Below are 26317 nucleotides of genomic sequence, written 5' to 3'. Positions count from 1 at the left end.
GGCTAATTTTTTGTATTTTTAGTAGAGACGGGGTTTCACCGTTTTAGCCGGGTGGAAATGGGTTTTTAATCAAGCTAAAAGATAATGTTAGGCCGGGCGCTGCGCTGACGCCTGTAATCCCAGCACTTTGGGAGGCCGAGGTGGGCGGATCATGAGATCAGGAGATCGAGACCATGCTGGCTAACACGGTGAAACCCCGTCTCTACTAAAAATATAAAAAATTAGCCGGGCGTGGTGGCAGGCACCTGTAGTCCCAGCTACTTGGGACGTGACGCAGGAGAATGGCATGAACCTGGGAGGCAGAGTTTGTAGTGAGCTGAGATCGCGCCACTGCACTCCAGCCTGGGCGACAGAGTAAGACTCTGTCTCAAAAAAAAAAGAAAAGAAAAAGAAAAAGGTAATGATATTAGCAGGGCTGGATAAATAACATTATATTACTTTTTACAAGTCAAATTGAGTTGAGATCTCAAAGTCTCTGCTTTTCCTAATGCTGTAGCTTACAATACCAAAATAACTAGTTGAAAATTCAGTTGATTATTGTCATTTGTTATTAGGTCTAACACATGATTTTCCTGATATTTAAGTTATTTATTTATTTATTTATTTATTTATTTAGAGACAGGGTCTCGCTCTGTTGTCCAGGCTGGAGTGCAGTGGCACAACCCTGGCTCACCGCAACCTCCGCCTCCCAGGTTCAAGCGATTCTCCAGCCTCAGCCTTCCACACCTGCCACCACACCTGCTGCTGCCACGTATTTTTAGTAGAGATGAGGTTTCCACCATGTTGGCCAGACTGGTCTGGAACTCCTGACCTCAAGTGATCCTCCCAGCTGGGCCTCCCAAAGTGCTGGGATTACAGGCGTGAACCACTGCACCCAGCCCTGATATTTAAATTAAATTCATTGATATTTAAACTGAAGAGGCAGTTTTTTAATGGCATAAAAAATTTCCGGCCAGGCACAGTGGCTCATGCCTGTAATCTCAGCACTTTGGGAGGCTGAAATGGGCAGATCACCTGAGGTCAGGAGTTCGAGACCAGCCTGGTCAACATGGAGAAACCCTGTCTCTACTAAAAATACAAAAAAATTAGCTGGGCATAGTGGCACGCGCCTGTAATCCCAGCTACTCGGGAGGCTGAGGCACGAGAATTGCTTAAGCCTGGGAGGCGGAGGTTGCTGGGAGCTGAGCTCATGCCACTGTACTCCAGCCTGGGTGACAGAGCAAGACTCTATCTCCAAAAAAAAAAAAAAACAAAAAAAATTCCAAGTGTTACTTTTTACCTAGTTTAGGCACATGAAAAAATTAATAATGTTTCTGTTTTCTTTTCTGTTTTTTTTTTTTGAGACAGTCTCTCCCTCTGTTGCCAGGTTGGAGGACAGTGGCACGACCTTGGCTCACCTCTCTGCCTCTTGGGCTAAAGTGATCCTCCTACCCCAGCCTACTAAGTAGCTGGGACTACAGGCATGCACCACCATGCCCAGCTAACTTTAGTATATTTTGTAGAGACAGGGTCTCACTATGTTGCCCAGGCTGGTCTGGAACTCCTGGGCTCTAGCGATTCATCTGTTTTGGCCTCCCAAAGTGCTGGGATTACAGGTGTGAGAAACCATGCCTGGCCAGTTTTTCTGTTTTCAATTACTGTAAAAATATAGAATACTTTTCCTTTTATTTTATTTTTTATTTCCATAGGTTATTGGGTAACAGGTGGTGTTTGGTTACATGAGTAAGTTCTTTAGTGGTGATTTATGATATTCTGGTGTACCCATCACCCGGGCAGTATACACTGCACCCTGTTTGTGGTCTTTTATCCCTCACCCCCTTCTCACCCTTTCCCGCTGAGTCCCAAAGTCCATCGTGTCATTCTTATGCCTTTGTATCCTCATAGCTTTAACTCCCATTTATGAGTGAGAACATACAATGTTTGGTTTTCCATTTCTGAGTACTTCACTTAGAATAATAGTCTCCAGTCTCATCCAGGTTGCTGCAAATGCCATTAATTCGTTCTTTTTTAGGGCTGAGTAGTAGTCCGTCACATATGTATATATATATATATATCTGTCTCTCACAGTTTCTTTATCCATTTGTTGATTGATGGGCATTTGGGTTGGTTCCACGTTTTTGCAGTTGCAGATTGTGCTGCTATAAATATTTGTGCAAGTATCTTTTTTTTTTTTCTTTTTCTTTTTTGAGGTGGAGTCTTGCTCCATCACCCAGGCTGGAGTGCAGTGGTGCGATCTCGGCCCACTGGAAGCTCCGCCTCCCGGGTTCACGCCATTCTCCTGCCTCAGCCTCCCGAGTAGCTGGGACTGCAGGTTCCCGCCACCATGCCTGGCTAATTTTGTTTTTGTATTTTTAGTAGAGACAGGGTTTCACCGTGTTAGCCAGGGTGGTGTTGATCTCCTGACCTCATGATCCACCCGCCTCGGCCTCCCAAAGTGCTGGGATTACAGGCATGAGGCACCGTGTCTGGCCACAAATATCTTTTTTGTATAATGACTTCTTTTCCTCTGGGTAGATACCCAATAGTGGGATTGCTGGATCAAATGGTAGTTCTACTTTTAGTTCTTTAAGGAATCTCCACACTGTTTTCCATAACGGTTGTACTAGTTTATATTCCCACCAGCATTGTACAAGTGTTCCCTGTTCACCGCTGCCACGCCAACATCTATTATTTTTTGATTTTTTTGATTATGGCCATTCCTGCAGCAGTAAGGTGGTATTGCATTGTAGTTTTGATTTGCATTTCCCTGATCATTAGTAATGTTGAGCATCTTTTCATATGTTTGTTGGCCATTTGTATATCTTCTTTTGAGAATTGTCATGTCCTTAGCCCACTTTTTGATGGGATTTTTTTTTCTTGTTGATTTGTTTGAGTTCATTGTAGATACCGGATATTAGTCCTTTGTTAGATGATTAGATTATGAAGGTTTGTCCCACTCTGTGGGTTGTCTACTCTGCTGACTATTCCTTTTGCTATGCAGAAGTTCTTTAGTTTAATTAAGTCCCAGCAATTTATCTTTGCTTTTATTGCATTTGCTTTTGGGTTCTTGGTCATGAAATCCTTGCCTAAGGCAGTGTCTAGAAGGGCTTTTCCAATATTATCATCTATAATTTTTATAGCTTCAGGTCTTAGATTTAAGTCCTTAATCCATCTTGAGTTGATTTTTGTATAAGGTGAAATATGAGGATCCAGTTTCATTCTTCTACATGTGACTAGCCAATTATCCCATCACAATTTGTGGAAAAGGGTGTCCTTTCCCCAATTCTTGTTTTTGTTTGCTTTGTCAAAGATCAGTTGGCTGTAAGTATTTGGGTTTATTTTTGTGTTCTCTAGTCCTTCCATTGGTCTATGTGCCTGTTTTTGTATCAGTACCATGTTGTTTTGGTGACTATGGCCTTGTAGTATAGTTTGAAACCAGGTAATGTGATGCCTCCAGATTTGTTCTTTTTGCTTAGTCTTGCTTTGGCTATGTGGGCTCTTCTTTGGTTCCATATGAATTTTAGAATTTTTTTTTCTACATCTGTGAAGAATGATGGTGGTATTTTGATGGGAATTGCGTTGAATTTGTAGATTGCTTTTGGCAGTAGGGTCATTTTTACAATATTGATTCTACTCATCCATGAGCATGGGGTGTGTTTCTGTTTGTTTGTGTTGTCTATGATTTCTTTCACCAGTGTTTTGTTGTTTTTCCTTGTAGAGGTCTTTTGCCTCCTTGGTTAGGTATATTCCTAAGTATTTTTTTTTTTTTTTGCAGCTGTTGTAAAAGGGGTTGAGTTCTCGTTTTGATTCTCCGCTTGGTTGCTGTTGGTATATAAAAGTGCTACTGATTTGTGTACATTAATTTTGTATCTGGAAATTTTGCTGAATTCTTTTATTAGTTCTAGGAACTTTCTTTCTGGAGGAGTCTTTGGATTTTCTAGGTAAACGATCATATAATTGTCAAACAGCGACAGTTCGACTTCCTCTTTACCGATTTGGATGCCCTTTATTTCTTTCTCTTGTCTGATTGGTCTGGCTAGGATTTAGAGTACTATGTTGGAAAGGAGTGGTGAGAGTGGACATCCTTGTCTTGTTCCAGTTCTCAGAGGGAATGTTTTCAACTTTTCCCCATTCAGTATTATGTTGGCTGTGGGTTTGTCATGGATGGCTTTTATTATATTGAGGTATGTCCCTTGTATGCCGATTAAGTATATATATATATATATATATATATATATACACACACACACACACACACACACACACACACGTGTGTATGTGTATATATCTATATATACACACACACACGTGTGTATGTGTATATATCTATATATACACACACACACGTGTGTATGTGTATATATCTATATATACACACACACACACAAAAATTAGCCAGGCGTGATAACGCATGCCTGTAGTCCCAGCTACTCAGGAGGCTGGGGTGGGAGGATCACTTGAGCCTCAGGAGGCAGAGGTTGCAGTGAGCTGATACCATGCCACTGTACTCCAGCCTGGGTGACAAAAAACCAAAAACTTCAGATTATTTGAAGGCATTTGGATATTCAATTGAAAGTAACAGTTTTTCTTAATGCAGGTATAATTCACATACTGTAAAATTTGCCCTTTAAAGTATATGACCCAGTGGTTTTTAGTACTTCACAAAGTTGTGCTGTCATAATCACTGCCTAATTCTAGAATATTTTCATCACCCCAGAAACTCCATACCTATTGGCAGTCACTCCCCATTCTTTTTTCTTCCAGTGTGCTAATCTACTTTCTGTTTCTTTTTTTTTCTACTTTCTGTTTCTATGGATTTGCATAGTCTAGACATTTCATATAAAAAGAATCATATGGATTTTTGTGCCTCCTATCTTTAACTTAGCATAATGTTTACAAGGCTCATCTACATTATAGCATGTGTCAGTATTTCATTCCTTTTTGTGGCTGAATAATATTCCGTGTGTGCATATATTTATATACACCATATTTTGTTTACCCATTTGTCAGCTGATAGACATTTGGGTTGTTTCTACTTTTTTTTGACTATTAAGAATAATTATGCTATGAACATTCTTGTACAAGTTTTTATGTGCACATATGTTTTCCATCATTTTTGGTATGTACCTAGCAATGGAACTGGGTATATATTGTGTCATAGGGTAACTGTATGTTTAACTTTCTGAGACACTGCCAGACTTTTTTTCACAGTGGCTGAACCCATTTACATTCCTACCAGCAATGTAGGAAGGGTCTAGTTTCTCTACATCCTTGCCCATACTTGTTTTTGCTTTATGTATTTTGGGGGCTACTATGTAATTTTGTTACATTTGTATGTTCTACATTTCTGAAAATTGATGTGACCTTGCTGTGGAAAGATAAAATCATTTATTCAAAGTTGACTATTAATTTAAAGAAAAAATACTAAAATACTAATATATGATTGCTTCTTTATCATAATTTGCTAATATCAGTATCATTTGTAGAAGTGAATCAGATAAATTTAGCACCAGCAAGTGTTTTAATGTTGTGATTCATAGACTGAATATTTCATTTCTGTTTTTCACGATTACATGTAAAATAACTAATTTAACAAACTTCAAATTAGGTGGTTTCTCCAAGTCTGTGTAAGCAGTTTTGGACTCATAACACCTCATTTAGCAGATCTACACTTAGCATATACTCTGTGAGGCACAGTAGTGGGCTGTGGGAACACAGTGACAAGCAAGATGGCTACGGACCCTTTGTTCTTGGCACTTTTATTTAAGAGAAAAAAACACATGTTGACATAATTACAGGTTGTGGTTTGTGTTACAAAGGATATAAACAGGATGTGTGAGAGGGAATACTCTACTGTAGATTTGTAAGTCAAGGAAGACCTCACTGAGGGGATGATTTTAAAACTGAAATCTAAAAGGTGATTAAGAGTCAGGTATGCAAGAGCTGGGGGAGAATACAGCAGGCAGGGTGTCTGAATTGAGAGAGCTTGGGAGCTAAGTGAATGTCAGTTTGGCTAGTGAGTAAGGAGGAAAGAATACTGTCGGGGAGTTTGGAGAGAGACAGAAGCCAGATCTGGCCATGGAAAGGAATTTGAATTAAATCCATTGTAGTGGGAATCCATCAGAGAGTGACAGGATTGATCTAAGTTTGTTTTGTTTGTTTTGTTGTTTTTGTTTTTTGGTTTTTTGAGACAGGGTCTTCCTCTGTCACCCAGGCTAGAGTGCAGTGGGAGTGATCATAGCTCACTGCAGCCTCGAACTCCTGGGCTCAAGTGATCCTCTCACCTCAGCCTCCCAAGCAGCTGGAACTACAAGCATGCCCTACCACACCTGGCTACATTTAAAAAAAATTTTGAGGAGATGGAGTCTTGCTATGTTGCCCAGGCTGGTCTTGAACTCCTGGGCTCAAGCAGTCCTTCTGCCTCAGCCTCCCAAAGTGCTGGGATTACAGGTATGAACCACCATGCCTGGCTGATTTAAGTTTTTAAAAGATCACTGGAGCTGCTGACTGTAGAATGGAAGCAAGAAAACCAATTAAAAGACTATTGCAGATGCCCAGGCAGGAGACGATGGTTTAGATTAGGGTAATGGCAGTGTAGGTAGAAAGAAGTAGACTGATCTGAGAGGAACTTTTGGAGATAGAGTCTATAGGATTTGACAATGGTTAGATATGGGAGGCAAGGCAAAAGAAAGAAAAGTTGAGGATGATGCCCAGGTTTTTGGCTTAAACAACTGGTCACAGGTTGTTATGGGATAGGGAAGAAGTAAGAGGAAGGATTTAGGGAATTGGGAATTGAAATGCATTGTAGAATTTGAGTTGCCTATTAAAATATATGAAGATGTCAAATCTCATAGCAGTTGGGTATATGAATCTGGGTCTGAGAGGGTGAGGCCTTGGACAGAGAGACAAATTTGCAACTTGTCTGAAGAACCCTAATGTTTAGAATTGGATGGGAAATTTAGCAGACTCTGGCAGGGCAAAAACCAGTGATATGAATGAAATGTACACAGGCCTACTAATGGTTTTTCTAAACCTTGATTCCTCTTCCAGAGAAGCAAATGATAAAGGCTGCGGTGTCTGTCTTTCTCCTTTCAAAAGTCAGAAACTTTTGCTGGGTGCTATTGCATCTTTTCCTCCTACTGCTGACAGACTTGCTTAGCTATTGCCTAACTGTTCTGTTTAGTAGGTGTAGGTGGTTTTAAAAAAGAAGGACTTGGAGATAAGGGATTACCAGTCTCTTTCTGGGATACTAGTCATACTACTTCAGTTAGCTGTATTTTGGGTTAAATACAATATGTGCTAGCTTTTAAATTTAATAATTATTTGTATGCGTGGGACCCATAGTTCTGGGACTAGGAATTCTCAAAATCTTCTGAGTTTTTTTCTGGATAAAAAATTAATATTATCAATAATCTGGATAATCACTTTATAGCCATCATGAGATTTCAGTACCTCTATTTTTAACTAAATGATCTTCCTAAATTTATTTAACTTGTATTGCATTGCAAAGTTTTCCAAGCTTTGGCTTTTGAAGTCTCTGACTGAAAGTGACCTATTGTTTCCGTGAAAAATTTGTTTTAAACCTGTCTACTAACAAATTATGGGAGTAAACATTTTAAGTAGGATTGCCAGTGTACTCCATTTATATGTATTTTGATCAGTAGTCCCAAATACTGAGTTTTCCAGCATATTTTTTCCCTATCTTGCTTAGAAGTGATGCTTGTGATAAAATATCTGACAAATTCCATTACTTTTACAGTTTAATAGGAAAATGGAGATTACCCATGTAGAAAGCAGATAATATATTAACATCTAGAAGTAGTTGGTAAATACTACATTCTTTAACCAAAAATAAAAAAACATAAGTTAGATAACTTATGTTTTGGATATGGACTTCTTTGACTAACATCAAAGTATTTTTTCTCGTAGAGAAGGCAAAATTAATTAAAAGATTTCCTTTTGTGATTTATAAATGTCATTTTAAACTGAGACTTTAGGCTGGGCGTGGTGGCTCGCGCCTGTAATCCCAGCGCTTTAGGGGGCTGAGGCGGGCGGATCACTTGAGGCCAGGAGTTTGAGACCAGCCTGGCCAACATGGTGAAATCCCATCTCTACTAAATATACAAAAATTAGCAGGGTGTGGTGGTGCACGACTGTAATCCCAGCTACTCCGAAGGCTGAGGCAGGAGAATTGTTTGAACCTGGGAGTTAGAGGTTGCAGTGAGCCAAGATCGTGCCACTGCACTCCAGCCTGGGTGACAGAGTGACACTCTGTCTCAAAACAAAAAAAAAGCAACAACAAAAAAACTGAGACTTGAAAGTTCTAATGTGAATTGGAACTTTGTTTTTTTTTTTTTAATAATGTGAAGTGACAGTCATTGCAACTTTAACCCAACCTGTTTTAGCAGCATCCAAATCATGTTCTTATGCATAATGAACATACACAGCCTGCTGTTAGTCATTCAACTTTTCTGTACTTTTCCATAATCTCATTAGAGCCTCATGAAACTGCATGATGTGGGAGGAGCAGGTACTAGAAATTTGCACCTGATGTTAACTGAATACTCAGTAGGCTTTGTGTTCTGTTCTAGTTTATGTGCATTTCCGTTGTTATGAAAATTAAGCCATGTGAGATACAATCTATTATCGCTCTTAACTTACAGATAAGGAAACTGAGGCACAGAGTGCTGGTGATGGGATCTTGTATAAGTTTCTTAGCATCTCTTTAGCTACATCTGTCATATTGTTCTGTAAGTCCAACTCCTCTACACAAGACCCCCATCCCTTATTAGCTGCTGAAGGACATTGCTCTTGAAATTGTTTTTCTCTCTTGCATCATCAGTTTTTTCCTTTCTACTGAATTACTTCTGTTGGCATATAAACACATTATTTCTCTCTTGAAGAAAACAAAAGCACAAAAGAATAAAACAAACCAAAAGGAAGACCCTCTCTTGATCCCATTTCCGTTCTAGCTATTGTCCTATTTCTTCCTTTAAGTGCAAAACTGTTTATAAGTTGTATATATTTGCTATCTCTACGTGTCTCTCCTTTTCTCTTGAATCAATTCCAATTAGGTTTTTACCCTGCTACACCATCAAGATTACCTTTATCAATGTCATTAATGATCTCCTTATTGCAGGATGCTATGGGGAAATATAGAGATAAATAGAATAATATGAAGGGAGGACACTATACGTAATAATGAAAGCCTAGAAACGCTCAAATATCCATTAACAAACTATAGTACTTTCATATAATGGAGGATTGTGCATTTGTTAAAAAGAATGGGGAAAATATTTTTATGCTGCTAAGCAGTAATCTCCCTGGTTTATTAAGTGAGAAAACAAGATGCAATAGAGTAAGTATACTGTACTACTTTTTATGTAAGAAAAGGAGGAAAATAGGAGTATGTGTGTATTCAGCTTTGTTATGTTGTTAAGCATTGTAAGGGCAATCCAAAATCATAGAGGGGACAAGGACAGAACTAAAGCCTCTTTGAATGCACCTTGTTTATAGTTTTTACCTTATTGCCATTTTTTGTTAGATATAATTATAAAAAAATAGAGAAATCTCTAAATGAAAACAAGAATTTAAAAATGTCAGGATGATGACACAGTTACAAGAATTATTATTTCAAGTAACTTTGAAACACTGTATTTTGACTAGTGACCTATATCCTAAGGACAGAGAAGATCAATGAGAAATCTTAAACTTTGTTCAATATTGTTAGTAACAATCTTGTTATTGTTAATTTGAGATTACATGTAGTAGGATAAAACAAATTAGTACATTTGCTAATGGCAGGTATTTATTAGTGTCATTAGCAAGAAAGATTTTCAGGGTGAGAGAAGATACAAATAAAATGAGTGAATACTATTTAATTGGAAATGTCACAGTGAACTCAGGATTTAAGTTTCTCTTTATAAAAATACATATTTTCTAGCTCTGCTTACTGAAGAAGTAATGACAAGTAAAAATCAGTACTCCTAGCTCCCAGATTTTGGTCTTTAGATACCATTTCCCATTAAAATGAATCATGGATCCTGGAGCAATGGCTGATTCTAGGTCTGGGGCATGAAATGTGTAAGATGAACTTCTGGGGCATTTTGTGCCTGAGAGCAAGGAAGCTACTATTAGAGACAGAGGTCATGTTAAAGTGATGCAGGAGCCACCTTGTAGGGACTCCTACTGGTCAAAAATGTGCAATTTGAGGTTCCCCTTGTCAAAAGTCCTCTTGTCATACAAAAAGGAATTGGAATTTGATCAGCCCTCTAGATCTAACTACATTGTATAGGAACTACAGGAATATGCTGAGCAATACCAGGAAGATACAGTTTGCCTAATCAGACTGGAAAGTTCTACGAGACAATTTCTTCAACACATAAATAGCCTGGGAAAAATTTTTTAAAAATAGAAACTGTTAAAAGATTAAAAGAGGCATAACAGTCAAATTTTGTGTGTGAACCTTATTTGGATTCTGATTCAAATCATCTTTAAAAAGCATTTTTGGGCAAGTGGGAAGAGTTGAGCTGCATTGGATATTACATATTAAGGAATTATTTGTTGAATGTGGTAACATTATGGTTATTATAAAACTTACTAAATTTGTACAGGTGAAGAGAAATGATGTGTAATATTGCTTTAAAATACAGTACTCAGCTGGGTACAGTGGCATATATCTGGAGTCCCAGCTACTCCAGAGGCTGAGGCGGGAGGATTACTTGAGCCCAGGAGTTCGGGGCTGCAGTGTGTACCATGATCGCACCTGTGAATAGCCACTGCACTTCAGCCTGGAAAACAGAGTGAGACCCCGTCTCTACATTTTTTTAAAAAAAAGATTAAAATACAGTATTCTCTTTGAAGAAAAGAAATGAGGGATGGATGAGACAAGAATAGCAAAATTTGGTAATTGTTGAAGCTGGGTACTTGAGAGTTCTTGAAGATGGTACCTGGGGGTTCATTTTATTCCCTCCACTGTATGTATGTTTGATAATTTTTATAAAGGAAAAAAATTCACAAAAAGAGACTGATGTCCTTTATGCAGAGTGATGATATGACGTAAAAGTATCTATTTATTAAATGTTTGGTCTGGTAAAAAAGTGATAGTTTATGATGACTGTAATACAAGAAACTTCTTTAGGTTCAAATTGTAATAAGTACATTATAGAGATTTATAAAGCATTGGATAATTCATTTTGGGCAGGAATTAAATCATTGATTATATATTTAGCATTCAACTTATGGTCATATAGTTTGCCATTCAGTGCCTATATGGATATAGGAAAAAACTAACTGAGTTTCTCCTACTATGCTCTCACAACACGCAATACAGAATGCTTCTGTAATGTCTGGTCCCCAAAATGTGTGGGGATTTCTCTCCAACAACAAGGAGTTCTGCAGATAATTCTCCAGAGGACATCAGCTGAATGTCCTTTAATTCAGTGTACTTCTGACACTATCTACCTGGGGATAGATTCCACAGGTTGAGGGCTCAATCCCACAAGACTGCCCCCCTTCATATGTGGTCCCAAGCACAGGTTGTGGTCTGTGTTTTTGACCAACTGGTTATAAATTGGGGTTCCCGTGACCCCCTCCTGGGGTTCAATTAATTTGTTAGTGCAGCTCACAGAACTCAAGGAAACATGTTACTTACATTTGCTCACTTACAAAGGATATTATTACAAAGGATACAAATGGAAGAGAGATGCATAGGACGAGTTCTTGGAGAAAGGGCTCAGAGCTTCCATGCCCTTTCTGGGCCCATCCACTCTTGAGGAACTTCGACTCATTCTACTGTGCTGGAGCTCTCAGAACTCAGTCCTTTTGGGTTTTATGGAAGCTTCGTTAGGTAGGCGTGATTGATTAAATCATTGGTCATTGGTTTGTCAACTCAACCTTAAGCCACTCTCCCTCTCTGGAGGTTGGGGGTGGGGGTGGGACTGAAAGTTGCAACCTTCTAATCACTTTGTTGGTTCCCCTGTTAAATTGTAGGGTCCCCCAGCCACCAGTTGTCTTATTAGCACACTAAAGATACTCATCTTTCTGAAGATTCCAAGGATTTTAGGAGCTGTTCGGCAGGAAACAGCATGAAAACCAAATACATTTTATACATTTTACGATACCACAGTGCTCCTCTCTCTCTCTCTCTCTCTCTCTCTCTCTCTCTCTCTCTCTCTCTCTCTCTCTCTCTCTATATATATATATATATATATATATAGGTTGTAAGACTTATGATTTTAAAACCTGTGCACTGTATTTGATTGTTTATATATAGGAGTTTGTACATGTGCATTTGAGGAATGGCACACTCCAAAATGCTTCCAGGAGAAACTGGAATATGTGTAATGGTTAAGTATCTTGGAAGGATAGCTATACCTTTGGTGTGTAAGGATGCCTGAACCACAGATCTTAGTATGATAATTTCTATTATGGCTAATTTTAATATAAGAAGACCCTTTTGTAGTAGCCATGTTGAATACATAGTCTTAAAAATTGTTATAGTTGTGACTTGGATTTGGCATATTTAACAATTACTGATATAGCTAGTATTTGTTTTGATAAAATTCAAAGAACATTCACCTGTTTTGCAGTTATGAAGTAGGCCTTATGTGGAGTATATACAGACGCTTTAATTTTACGTAATTTCATATTCTGGTTGCGTATAGAGATGGCAACTGACTCTCCATGCACTTGTGTTGATTTTTCTTTAGTCTTGTGTTTTTGAAAAACTTAACAAAGGTATTTGTGATAGTGGCAGGAATAATAATTAGAATAGTAAGTAAATTTATAACTAAATCTAAATGGCTCTTGAATTAAAACCAATAAATTGTTCTGCACAATATTAGTAAGGAAGAAAGTAAGTCTTGTATATTATCTTAGATGAAAAATTGACAAAATAAGGCAAAATGATTCTGGTGACATCGAAATTTTATCCTACTGTTGACGATTAATATAAGGCCAACCACTTTCTCATTTATATAGTCTTGAAGATTTTTTAATGATAGTCATATATGCATTGCATTACAGTTGAAAAGACAGACTTCCAATTTATCTACCTGTTCCCCCTCCTCAGGTTTTTAAATGTATTAATTATCTGTACTTTATTATAGCTACAATAGATACACTACCATTTGCTGAACTCTTAAATGTTTTTTTCTTAAGTAGAATTTGGAAAAACAAAAATTCTTAAATTGTGTCAGTTTTCTGCTTACTTGTGCCTAAAGGGAGTTTTATTTTACCCATAATTAGGCATGTTATTCCCAACCTTCAATTTGCATAATTAGAAAAGTTGAATTCTTTTCTTTGTCCCATTTCTTAGTTGACGAAGGATCAGAGATTGGTGTATTCGGGCAGACTGCTTCCCGATCATCTGCAGCTGAAAGACATTCTCAGAAAAGTAAGCTTTTCTACCACTATTTGATACCAGATACATTCAGAATGTGAGAGGAGATATGTTCTGAAATTTTATTCAACCAGTTCAGTTTTTAGATACTTAAAATCAATCCCTTTGCGTGGTGTAACAAGTAAAGATAAATTAGAAAGTAACATGATAGTTTCTTATTAGTTTAGGTAACAGTTCTGTATATCCATCTGATAGTTAAATCTGAAGTACGATTATGTATTCATGTTCAGGTGTTTGTCATTTTTTGTAAGAAAATGCTATTGACGTCAGTAGTGTAGAAGTAGAATGTTCAGTAGTGGTGACGGATTTTCATTGATAACAGTCTTTCCTCTTAATCTCCTTTTTGCCAGCTGCATGATATTTTTATACAAATTGCTTGAGTTGGGAGTTTAATTTCAGGAGGAAATTAACTGGTCCATCAGTTAGCAAACTTTGTGGGTGCTGAGAGCTAAGATATATTTCAATACATTTTTATATTTCAATATTTTCAATAAAATCAACTTGAAGGCTAGTTATTTTAGTGGTAGCTTTTAGCTTATGTTCATTTGTGGAATTTATACTTATAGAGCTTTTCAGCATTTGAAATGTTGCTTTTTGTTGGTGGGTATAGCAGAATTGAATTTCTTCTTTGTTTTGCCTTAGATCTTTGACTTAACTCTAACTGTTGTTGTGGATATTCCTTATCTAATTTAGAAGATCTGTATCTTCTCCTGTATGTTTATGATCACCTATGGGAAACTTTAAAAAAATATATTAGTATATTCCTTCTGCTTAGACAGTTGACATTTTAGCTTTGCCAATGTGACTTCTTGCTGTTATTGGCAATATGTAGTTTCAAATTGCTAACATGGTGTAATACCCACTCCCTCAAAAATAGTGGAATTTGCAGCAGGTTTTTTTTTCTTTCTTTCCTCTTTTTTTTTTTTAAACAATTTTTTAGAGCTGTTTTAGGTTTATAGCAAAATTGAACAGAAAGTACAGCAATTTCTCTTACATTCTCTGACCCCACATAGGCACAGCCTGCCCCACTATCAGCATCCCACACCAAAGTAGTACATTTGTTACAATCAGTGAGCTTACATTGACATACATTATCACCCAAAGTCAGTAGTTTATGTTAGGGTTCACTCTTGGTGTTGCACTTTCTATGAGTTTTGGCAAATATATAATGACATGTCTCCACCAGTATAGTATCACTTAGAATAGCCCTAAAAACCTCTGTATTCTGGCTGTTCTTTTTTTTTCTCTTGTTTTTATGCTGGTGCTCAGAAATAAAATATATTTCGGTATAGTCCTTTCTGCCATCTGCTCTTTGAAATATAGATATATTAATTATTTTATGCCAAGGATAGCTTAAATCTACACATGAAGACTTTTAAAAAGATTTTTGCTGCCAGGAATGGTTTCAGGCCAAACAACTTAAAATAAAAACTGCTTCAGTCAAAGAACTCTTGTGCCCCTATATAAAACATTTTGAGTAATACATTTATGTTTTGAATAGTTCTTTCAACTGTTTTTATTAAAGTCAATGTACCCCTTTACTTTTTTCAGTTAAATACTGCCATTAGCTTTACCTATTTAGTCACAAAATGTTTTATAGAAACATTCCCAAGATAAATAAATTCTGTGAATTAATTGTGATTAATAATGACCTTTTGGAACTAGGTTTCTAAGGATCAACATCTTATACTTGTATGCTTGTTAATATTCTGTATTAAGAAGCTAAGGGAGACGTTGAAAATTAGGAGTGTCTTCAACCTCCTTTGCCAGGCGTACCTTCTGTCATGCTGTCTCTGAAGCCTTTCTTTAGCATTCTAACCCTTAGTAACTCCTTCCTCCAAACTCCTAAAGCAATTAAGGTTGGGCTTCTCAGTTTCATGAAAAAAAGACTGTTCTCTGTGTTTCTCTAATTGTGCTGTAGTGCACTAGTCTACCCTCTTAACAATATCATGAGCCTCTTTAAGGAAGGGCCTGTTGTACCCTTTCTTGGATTTGTCTCCAAATTAAGCACAATTATAGGTTCATGGTAGGCAAGTGATACATTCATAGTTTCTAGTAGCTTTGTTTCCCTTTCTCCCCATTTGGTTATCTTTCTTTCTGCTCCTTTTTCTTTGTCATTCTGTTCTTTTCTTTTTAAAAAACTAGCTGACTCATCCTTCATTGTTCTCTGTCCTCCTTTATTCCTTCTTTCCTTTCCCCATCTTATTTGCTGGCTTTATGTCTAAGTATAAATAAATATGCTTATGATCTCACTAAGCTAAAATGCCAACCCTAATCGTTATTTGGAATATTTTTCTTCAGTCATATTTCTAGGTTTATGGAAAAACATGGGATATTTACAGAATATAGTTTAAATGTATGCTTTATATCTGCGTATAGGTGTTATAGATAAAAATAGTTTTTGACTGAAAAAAAGAGTAAAAAAAATCACCTTGCTAAAATTAAGGCAAATGTGATTATGATGAAGTTATTTGAGTTTATTTTATAGTTGCTAAGCCTCAAGTGATGGAAATATGTAAACTGTAAAAAGTTTAAGGTGCTAGATGTTTTCATGCTGAAATTATAGATTGTGCTGTTACAACTTTCACAACATTGTTTGCTTTAAGACTGCTTCGTATGCAAAATAATTTTTTAACCCAGCAATTGCAGAGTATTTAGATCATTTTCCAAGTATGGAGAAAATATTGAATTCAAAAGGATCACAAATAAAATGACAAATTTACCTTCAAATGATAACAATTTATCAGTAATTAAATGGCTAGGCTCGAAAGGGACCTAAGTTTTAGGTATTTCAGTTTAGCTACTGACTTTTTGAACTGTACATTTTGTAGTACTACCCTTTAAATGTAATCTTCTTTAATTTTAGCAAGATGAGTATCATATGGTTCATCTAGTATGTACTTCTCGGACTCCTCCCAGTTCTCCAAAATCCAGCACCAATAGAGAAAGTCATGAAGCATTGGCATCCAGCAGCAATTCTGTGAGTTGTTTTGGGAGGAGTAAACATTGAACTTTTCTTTTTTTTTCGTCGTCGTCTTATTTTTTGCCTCTAAAAACTAAATGAAAAACAGAACAATTGGAGCTTGTGAATTTTGAGATTGTGTTTTGAACTAAAGTTAGGCATTTTGTAAAGTTTACCATTTTGAAAGATCTAATACGCAGTGTTATCCCTTGAAGTCTATTCACCTTGAGTTATAATTTGCTGTATGGCAGGTCAGTAATAGATTTAATCTTCAAAGGTTTAATTACTGGAATACTCAGAAAACGGAATTATGTTACGGTTATATAATATAAACTCTTAGGCCAATGACGTTTCAGAAATATGCCAGGTATTTAAAATAGTATATTTTATTCAAGGTGGATTAAATTGTTTAAAATTTAAGTACCCTAAATCTTCTTGAAGTAGATGACTTGGTCAAGGATTTTGTTTTTTAAAAATGACTGGATTTGGGTGTACATTCCACCTGCTTGGGGAGGAAATACTTAATGTATTAATCTCTTTCAGACTTGGGTATTCATTCCTCCATCCTTATTTTTCCATCTGCCTAAAATTGTTTTGGAAATGTTTTGTAATAGTTGACCTTCTCAATTTAGACATTTTCTACAAATTTCAAAAACATTGTCCCCAATCCTTTTATGTTATTTTTGATTTCCCATAAAAGCTTTCTATGACACCTTTGCAGGTGAGAGGATTGGATGAGTGGAAGCTTGCTTTCAACTTCTTGAGCAGTCAGGGAACTTTTCTACTGCTAAGTATGCTTTCCTTGTCAAGACTCCAGCCAAAGCTTGAAAGAGAGCACAAGTGACAGGGGTGGGAGCTAGTTGAAAACTCTCTCAATAGATACTAGTTAACTGCTTCTTTAAGAAACTAGCTTCTCCAGTTGCTGTATTTAATTTGTATTCTCTTAATGGTAACTATTTCCTAGTACCAGCCATGGGAATTTAGCTTACATTAAACTAAATAAAATATGCCTTGTCAAAACACCCAAGGGTCTTTGTATGTTTCCTGCCTTGGCATGGAAAGGCACAGACATTGGCATTGGCACAGAGTTTTTTTTTGTAGTCGTCGGACACAGTTGCATTGCTTCAATTTTTGTTGGGAAAGAACCCTCTGACTTTGACTTGTCCAGTGGGTTGCTCAGCCATGATTTTGTGTCATTAGTGTGTATATTTGTTTTTTTCAGTGTTATGAAAGCCTGAAAAGTATCAAAGGAATGTTAAGTTGAATTCACCTTAATTTTTCATGGTTCAGAAATTTCAAGGGACTTGAAAATATTTTAAAGATCTAATCATAAAATAATTACCTAATAAGGTCAGAAATCATTAGTTCTAGAGAAATTAGGTTGTGCTGCCAAATGACTAGGCTTTTCTTCTAATAATTGTATTAATGAACACCGTATTATGATGGCCCATTTAATGAGAAATCTTGCTGAAAAAGAAACCTTTCCCAGTTTATGTTCCTAAGAATCCGGACTCCTTAGTAAGATATTTGATATCTATTGTGTGTGAAGTAACATTTTAAAAGTTTTTGTTAGTCTTGCAAAAGACTGGTGTGGACTGTTTTGCAAAAGACAGTTTTGGACCTTTCACATTGCAGGACTTAGCATGGGAGTCATGCAAAAAGACATCCTGTCAATAGGAAGGCAGTACGGGTAAAATACAATTTAACAAAATTGTTAAAGGAAGGATGTTAAAATAATACTGTACCTAGCTTTTTAAAGTGGAAGAACTATAATTTATGTAAAATGTAATTGTGTTTTAAATGTACATGAAACACTTGACAAACTATTTTCAAACAAATTGGGATGGTCTTCAGGGAGTTATATTGTTTATGGTTACTGAATCCATGAGCACGAGAATAAAAAGATTTGAGCATGAGAATAAAAAAATACTGATTAACATCTTGATTCTCGTAGTTCATTTTGTAAAAAAGCAATATTTGTTGGTGATTTCTATAAACTAATAGAATTCTAGAACTGAAAGGAATCTTGAAAATTTAGTCCAATCTCATTTTCTGTAGGAAAGTGGAAACTCTGAGAGGTTAAGTGAACCTTTAAGGTTATAACTCTTGTTAATGTCAGAGATAACACTAGATTTTAGATCTTTTGATTTCTAGGATTTCTAGCCTGTTTCTCATTACTTTAAATCAATATGTTAACAATAGCATGTTGTACAGTACTTGGCACATAGTAACTGTTTAAATGACTCAGTAATTAGTACCATTTATTGAACACTTTCAATAAATGTATGTGTTAGGCATCATGAAAGGAGCTTTGCATGCATTAATTTAATCATGTGAAAAGAGCTTTTTATGCATTAACTTAATCCTCAGAATTTAATATGCTGTTTTTGTATATTATTATTCTGCTCCTCGGCCATTTCTAGTTGAAAAAATGGAATATTTTAGTTTAATTAAGCAGTTTTGATAAGTTTTGACGTACTAAAATTAAAATATCTACTTATACTGGACACACGATGTAAAACAGTAAATTTCTGAAATGTTATTTTGCAGAGGGATTTCATGAATACGTTTTTAGTAATGTGCCTGTAATTTTATGATTGTAAAGAACTAAATCTCCTTTTAAAAATTACATTTTTATTTGTAGAGTTCAGATCATTCAGGATCAACAACTCCATCATCTGGTCAAGAAACCTTGTCTTTAGCTGTGGGTTCTTCCTCAGAAGGATTGAGGCAGCGTACCCTTCCACAAGCACAAACTGACCAAGCACAGAGTCACCAGTTTCCATATGTAATGCAAGGGTAAGTGAAATTGTGGTAGCTATGGAATGTGATTGGGGCCCCCTAAAAATGAATTGCTTTTGAGTTTCACTATAGCCTCTTTGCAGTAATTAAAGTACATTTTAAATTTATTCATATATTTGATTTTGTATTTTGAGAACTAGAGGGTTAAGAAGAGCACTGCTTTTCAAACCTGGCTGCACATGAGAATCATGTAGGGCAGTGCTTTCAATCTTGAATGTTTGTCCTAATCACCGGGAGACCTTGTTGAGCTGCAGGTTTGTATTCAATAGGTATGATGGGGCCTGAGAATCTGCATTTCTGACAAGCTCCCAGATGATGCTAATGCTTCTGATGTTTGGACTACACTTTGAATAGCAAGGATCTACGTAACTAATTTTTTTTTACTCAGTCTCACTATAGATCTACTCAATTTAGTGTTTAGGGGAATGTGGTTGAGTGAAGGTATACTTGAAAGAGTACAGAGCCCAGCAATCTGTTTTTAAAAGTTTTTAAACGTTCCACAAGTGTTTCTAATCAACTTGGTAACAACTGTGCTAGAGTAAAACCATGATGTATTACAGGGATATGCTAATCTTGCTGCATGTTGTCCAGAATCTTTGTTGTATTGAGAGTTTTATAAAGCAGTTTTCTTAAGAAGCTTGCCATAGTCACCCTATATTTAGCAATTACAGCAGGCCCCTTGGGTTAGGCACTTCCAGAGGAAATGCAGCCACAGGTAAAGCAGCTTAGAGAGTAGGATCTTGGAGAACATGGTTTGGACCAGGGTTGTGTGTGAAAGCAGACTGTTTTACTGGGGTATTATTGTTTGTTATTTTTGAGGTAAAGGAAGCTTGAGTAACAGATAGTGATAATTTCTGTGTTGCGTATCAAGCCATGGGGCTGCAGTGTGTGGCACTGGTCTGGATCCATGATGATGGAGCTAGAAATGAGAATATGGCTAGGACCTCAGAATTGTAATGTAGGTGGTGTAACCAAGGAGTAGCTATTGACTGCTGTGCTCAACAGGACGGCATAAACACTCAGGTACTTTTTACTTAGAACTTTAAACTTAATTCAGTTATTAATACAGAAAAACAAAGCTGAATATATAGCAAATAGAAGAGAACTAATTTGTCTCAGATTTCTTAAATGTGAAGCCTTTTCTTTCAAAATAAATGTTTAGATGAGGCTGGTTGTAGACTTTCATAAAGTACCTGTGAAACTATTTTTGTTTTCAGAAAGTGATTACTATTAATATAAACCAAGATTTACTTGTAAAAAGCAGTGTTCTCAGGGTTTATATTATGGAACAGTAGCTTCAAATACTTTGTCTTATGACAGTAATTCACTTCCTTTCTTTTTCACAGAGTAAGTTCCTCTCAGTTTATACAGAGTGATTTTACTTATTTTATTTGGTGGTAGTGGTGGAAGGTGGGAGTATTATAAATAAGCCTGGAAAAATATATAGTGCCACATTAATAGTGGTTATCTCTGGATAAAATTTATAACTCTTTCTCTTACTTACAGTGAATATATTTTGTAATAAACAAATCAAGCTTATAAGATTACAGGTCTTCAGAATAAGACCATAGATACATTGGTAAAAGATTAATAATTTCTCTAAACTAGGCTATTGAGAAAATTAATAAACATAAAAGACAAAAGCATTCAGCTCTTCGAAGTATATTAAGCTGATTAGAAAAATCTGAAATAGGTGGCGCCAAGATGGCCGAATAGGAACAGCTCCAGTCTGCAGCTCCCAGCATGAACGATGCAGAAGATGGGCGATTTCTGCATTTCCAACTGAGGTACCAGGTTCATCTCACTGGGGCTTGCCAGACAAATAGGTGCAGCCCATGGAGCAGGGCGGGGCATCGCCTCACCTGGGAAGCGCAAGGGGTCGGGGAATTCCCTTTACTACAAAAGGGAAGCCGTGAGAGACTGCACCTGGAAAATCGGGATACTCCCACCCTAATACTGCACTTTTCCAATGGCCTTAGCAAACGGCTCACCAGGAGATTATATCCCGCGCCTGGCTCAGAGGGTCCCATGCCCAAGGAGCCCTGCTCATTGCTAGCACAGCAGTCTGAGATCAAACTGCAAGGCGACAGCAAGGCTGAGGGAGGGGCATCTGCCATTGCCGAGGCTCGAGTACATAAACAAAGTGGCCAGGAAGCTCGAACTGGGTGGAGCCCACCTCAGCTCAAGGAGGCCTCCCTGCCTCTGTAGACTCCACCTCTAGGGGCAGGGCATAGCTGAACAGAAGGCAGCAGAAACTTCTGCAGACTTAAATGTCCCTGTGTGACAGCTTTGAAGAGAGTAGTGGTTCTCCCAGCACTGAGTTTGAGATCTGAGAACAGACAGACTGCCTCCTCAAGTGGGTCCCTGACCCCCGAGTAGCCTAACTGGGAGGCATCTCCCAGTAGGGGGGCGACTGGCACTTCATAAGGCTGGGTGCCCCTCTGAGATGAAGCTTCCAGAGGAAGGATTAGGCAGCAACATGAGCTCCTTGCCAGCAGCGGAACAAAGCTGTATGGAGAATGACTTTGACGAGTCGAGAGAAGGCGGCTTCAGACAATCGGTAATAACAAACTTCTCCCAGCTAAAGGAGGATGTTTGAACCCATCACAAAGAAGCTTAAAAACCTTGAAAAAAGAGTAGACAAATGGCTAACGAGAATAAACAGCATAGATAAGTCCATAAATGACCTGATGGAGCTGAAAACCATGGCACAAGAACTACGTGATGCATGCACAAGCTTCAGTAGCTGATTTGATTAAATGGAAGAAAGGGTATCAGTGATTGAAGATCAAATGAATGAAATGAAGTGAGAAGAGAAGTTTAGAGAAAAAAGAGTAAAAAGAAATGAACAAAGCCTCCAAGAAATATGGGACTATGTGAGAAGACCAAATCTACATCTGATTGGTGTACCTGAAAGTGATGGGGAGAATGCAACCAAGTTGGAAAGCACTCTTCAGGATATCATCCAGGAGAACTTCCCCAACCTAGTGAGGCAGGCCAACATTCAAATTCAGGAAATACAGAGAACACCACAAAGATACTCCTCGAGAATAGCAATTCCAAGACACATAATTGTCAGATTCACCAAAGTTGAAATGAAGAAAAAAATGTTAAGGGCAGCCAGAGAGAAAGGTCTCATTACCCACAAAGGGAAACCCATCAGACTAATAGCTGATCTCTCGGCAGAAACTCTACAAGCCAGAAGAGAGTGGGGGCCAATATTCAATATTCTTAAAAGAATTTTCAACCCAGAATTTCATATTCAGCCAAACTCAGCTTCATAAGTGACGGAGAAATAAAATCCTTTACAGACAAACAAATGCTGAGAGATTTTGTCACAACCAGGCCTGCCTTACAAGAGCTCCTGAAGGAAGCACTAAAACACGGAAAGGAACAACCGGTACCAGCCCTGCAAAAACATGCCAAATTGTAAAGACCATCTATACTAGGGAGAAACTGCATCAACTAATGAGCAAAATAACCAGCTAACATCATAATGACAGGCTCAAATTCACACATAATAATATTAACCTTAAATGTAAATGGGCTAAATGCTCCAATTAAAAGACACAGACTGGCAAATTGGATAGAGTCAAGACCCATCTGCTGTATTCAGGAAACCCATCTCACGTGCAGAGACACACATAGGCTCAAAATAAAGGGATGGAGGAAGATCTACCAAGCAAATGGAAAACAAAAAAAAGGCAGGGATTGCAGTCCTAGTCTCTGATAAAACAGACTTTAAACCAACAGATCAAAAGAGACAAAAGGCCATTACATAATGGTAAAGGGATCAATTCAACAAGAGGAGCTAACTATCTTAAATATATATGCACCCAATACAGGAGGACCCAGATTCATAAAGCAAGTCCTTAAAGACCTACAAAGAGACTTAGACTCCCACGCAATAATAATGGGAGACTTTAACACCCCACTGTCAACATTAGACAGATCAACGAGACAGAAAGTTAATAAGGATATCCAGGAATTGAACTCAGCTCTGCACCAAGCAGACCTAATAGACACCTGCAGAACTCTCCACTCCAAAACAACAGAATATACATTCTTGTCAGCACCACATCACACTTACTCCAAAATTGACCACATAGTTGGAAGTAAAGCACTCCTCAGCAAATAAAAGAACAGTAAATTATAACAAATTTACTCAGTAAAAGAACAGAAATTATAACAAACTGTCTCTCAGACCACAGTGCAATCAAACTAAAGCTCAGAATTAAGAAACTCAGTCAAAACCGCTCAACTACATGGAAACTGAACAACCTGCTCCTGAATGACTACTGGGTACATAACGAAATGAAGGCAGAAATAAAGATGTTCTTTGAAATCAATGAGAACAAAGACACAACATACCAGAATCTCTGGGACACATTTAATACAGTGTGTAGAGGGAAATTTATAGCACTAAATGCCCACAAGAGAAAGCAGGAGAGATCTAAAATTGACACCCTAACATCACAATTAAAAGAACTAGAGAAGGAAGACCAAACACATTCAAAAGCTGGCAGAAGGCAAGAAATAACTAAGATCAGAGCAGAACTGAAGGAGATAGACACAAAAAACCCTTCAAAAATATCAATGAAGCCAGGAGCTGGTTTTTTGAAAAGATCAACAAAATTGATAGACCACTAGCAAGACTAATAAAGAACAAAAGCGAGAAGAATCAAATAGACACAATAAAAAATGATAAAGGGGATATCACCACTGATCCCACAGAAATATGGCCATCAGAGAGTACTATAAACACCTCTACGCAAATAAACTAGAAAATCTAGAAGAAATGGATAAATTCCTCGACACATACACCCTCCCAAGACTAAACCAGGAAGAAGTTGAATCCCTGAATAGACCAATAACGGGTTCTGAAATTGAGGCAATAATTAATAGCCTACCAACCAAAAAAAGTCCAAGACCAGACGGATTCACAGCTGAATTCTACCAGAGGTACAAAGAGGGGCTGGTTCCATTCCTTCTGAAACTATTCCAATCAATAGAAAAAGAGGGGATCCTCCCTAATTCATTTTATGAGGCCAGTATCATCCTGATACCAAAGCCTGGCAGAGACACAACAAAAAAAGAGAATTTTAGACCAATATCCCCGATGAACATCGATGTAAAAATCCTCAATAAAATACTGGCAAGCTGAATCCAGCAGCACATCAAAAAGCTTATCCACCACGATCAAGTCAGTTTCATCCCTGGGATGCAAGGCTGGTTTAACATATGCAAATCCATAAACATAATCCATCCTATAAACAGAACTAAAGACAGAAACCACATGATTATCTCAATAGATGCAGAAAAGGCCTTTACAAAATTCAACAGCTCTTCATGCTAAAAACTCTCAATAAATTAGGTATTGATGGGACGTATCTCAAAATAGTAAAAGCTGTTTATGACACACCCACAGCCAATATCATACTGAATGGGCAAAAACTGGAAGCATTCCCTTTGAAAACTGGCACAAGACAGGGATGCCGTCTCTCACCACTCCTTTTCAACGTAGTGTTGGAAGTTCTGGCCAGGGCAATCAGGCAAGAGAAAGCAATAAAGGGTATTCAATTAGGAAATGAGGAAGTCAAATTGTCCCTGTTTGCAGATGACATGATTGTATATTTAGAAAACCCTATCATCTCAGCCCAAAATCTCCTTAAGCTGATAAGCAACTTCAGCAAAGTCTCAGGATACAAAATCAATGTGCAAAATTCACAAGCATTCCTATACACCAATAACAGACAGACAGAGAGCCAAATCATGAGTGAACTCCCATTCACAATTGCTTCAAAGAGAATAAAATACCTAGGAATCCAAATTACAAGGGATGTGAACGACCTCTTCAAGGAGAACTACAAACCACTGCTCAGCGAAATAAAAGAGGACACAAACAAATGGAAGAACATTCCATGCTCATGGATAGGAAGAATCAATATCGTGAAAATGGCCATACTGCCCAAGGTAATTCATAGATTCAATGCCATCCCCATCAAGCTACCAATGACTTTCTTCACAGAATTGGAAAAAACTAAAGTTCATATGGAACCAAAAAAGAGCCCGCATTGCCAAGTCAGTCCTAAGCCAAAAGAACAAAGTTGGAGGCATCACGCTACCTGACCTCAAACTATACTACAAGGCTACAGTAACCAAAACAGCATGGTACTGGTACCAAAACAGAGATATAGACTAGTGGAACAGAATAGAGCCCTTGGAAATAATACCACACATCTACAGCCATCTGATCTTTCACAAACCTGACGAAAACAAGAAATGGGGAAAGGATTCCCTATTTTATAAATGGTGCTGGGGAAACTGGCTAACCATATCTAGAAAGCTGAAACTAGATCCCTTCCTTACACCTTGTACAAAAATTAATTCAAGATGGATTAAAGACTTAAATGTTAGACCTAAAACCATAAAAACCCAAGAAGAAAACCTAGGCAATACCATTCAGGACATAGGCATGGGCAAGGACTTCATGTCTAAAACACCAAAAGCAATGGCATCAAAAGCCAAAATTGACCAATGGGATCTAATTAAACTAAAGAGCTTCTGCCCAGCAAAATAAACTACCATCAGAGTGAACAGGCAACCTACGGAATGGGAGAAAATTTTTATAATATACCCATCTGACAAAGGGCTAATATCCAGAATCTATGAAGAACTTAAACAAATTTACAAGAAAAAATCCAACAACCCCATCAACAAGTGGGCAAAGTATATGAACAGGCACTTCTCAAAAGAAGACATTTATGCAGCCAATAGACACATGAAAAAATGCTCATCATCACTGACCATCAGCGAAATGCAAATCAAAACCACAACGAGATGCCATCTCACACCAGTTAGAATGGCGATCATTAAAAAGTCAGGAAACAACAGGTGCTGGAGAGGATGTGGAGAAATAGGAATGCTTTTACACTGTTGGTGGGACTGTAAACTAGTTCAACCATTGTGGAAGACAGTGTGGCGATTCCTCAAGGATCTAGAACTAGAAATACCATTTGACCCAGCCATCCCATTACTGGGCATATACCCAAATGATTATAAATCATGCTGGTATAAAGACATATGCACACGTATGTTTATTGTGGCACTGTTCACAATAGCAAAGGCTTGGAACCAACCCAAATGTCCATCAATGATAGACTGGATTAAGA

At 37.5% G+C, this 26317-nt stretch overlaps 1 protein-coding gene across 5 annotated transcripts in view, besides 1 other annotated feature; it reads left to right on the top strand.

The window, feature by feature from the left end:
- The window catches only part of HERPUD2 (HERPUD family member 2), a 62477-nt gene that overhangs the window by 8560 nt on the left and 27600 nt on the right, over positions 1-26317 (top strand). For 3 of the 5 annotated variants that reach the window (NM_022373.5, NM_001438072.1, XM_047420699.1), the window contains 3 exons: positions 13298-13375; positions 16248-16361; positions 18988-19142. In NM_022373.5, the coding sequence (NP_071768.3) occupies positions 13298-13375; positions 16248-16361; positions 18988-19142 (347 nt within the window). The remainder of the gene's footprint in view (positions 1-13297; positions 13376-16247; positions 16362-18987; positions 19143-26317) is intronic. The other 2 variants (NM_001438070.1, NM_001438071.1) reach the window with 1 other exon arrangement.
- Positions 7110-7310: a silencer, noted in NCBI's record as "peak6479 fragment used in MPRA reporter construct". NCBI's record gives its function as "represses an SCP1 promoter by STARR-seq MPRAs in K562 erythroleukemia cells {active_cell/tissue: K562}" and the evidence as "EXISTENCE:reporter gene assay evidence [ECO:0000049][PMID:32103011]".

This window comes from Homo sapiens, chromosome 7 (genome assembly GCF_000001405.40).
Source record: "Homo sapiens chromosome 7, GRCh38.p14 Primary Assembly".
Lineage (NCBI taxonomy): Eukaryota > Metazoa > Chordata > Mammalia > Primates > Hominidae > Homo > Homo sapiens.
Note: the sequence above shows the minus strand (reverse complement) of the source record. Positions and strands in the feature narration are given on the sequence as shown.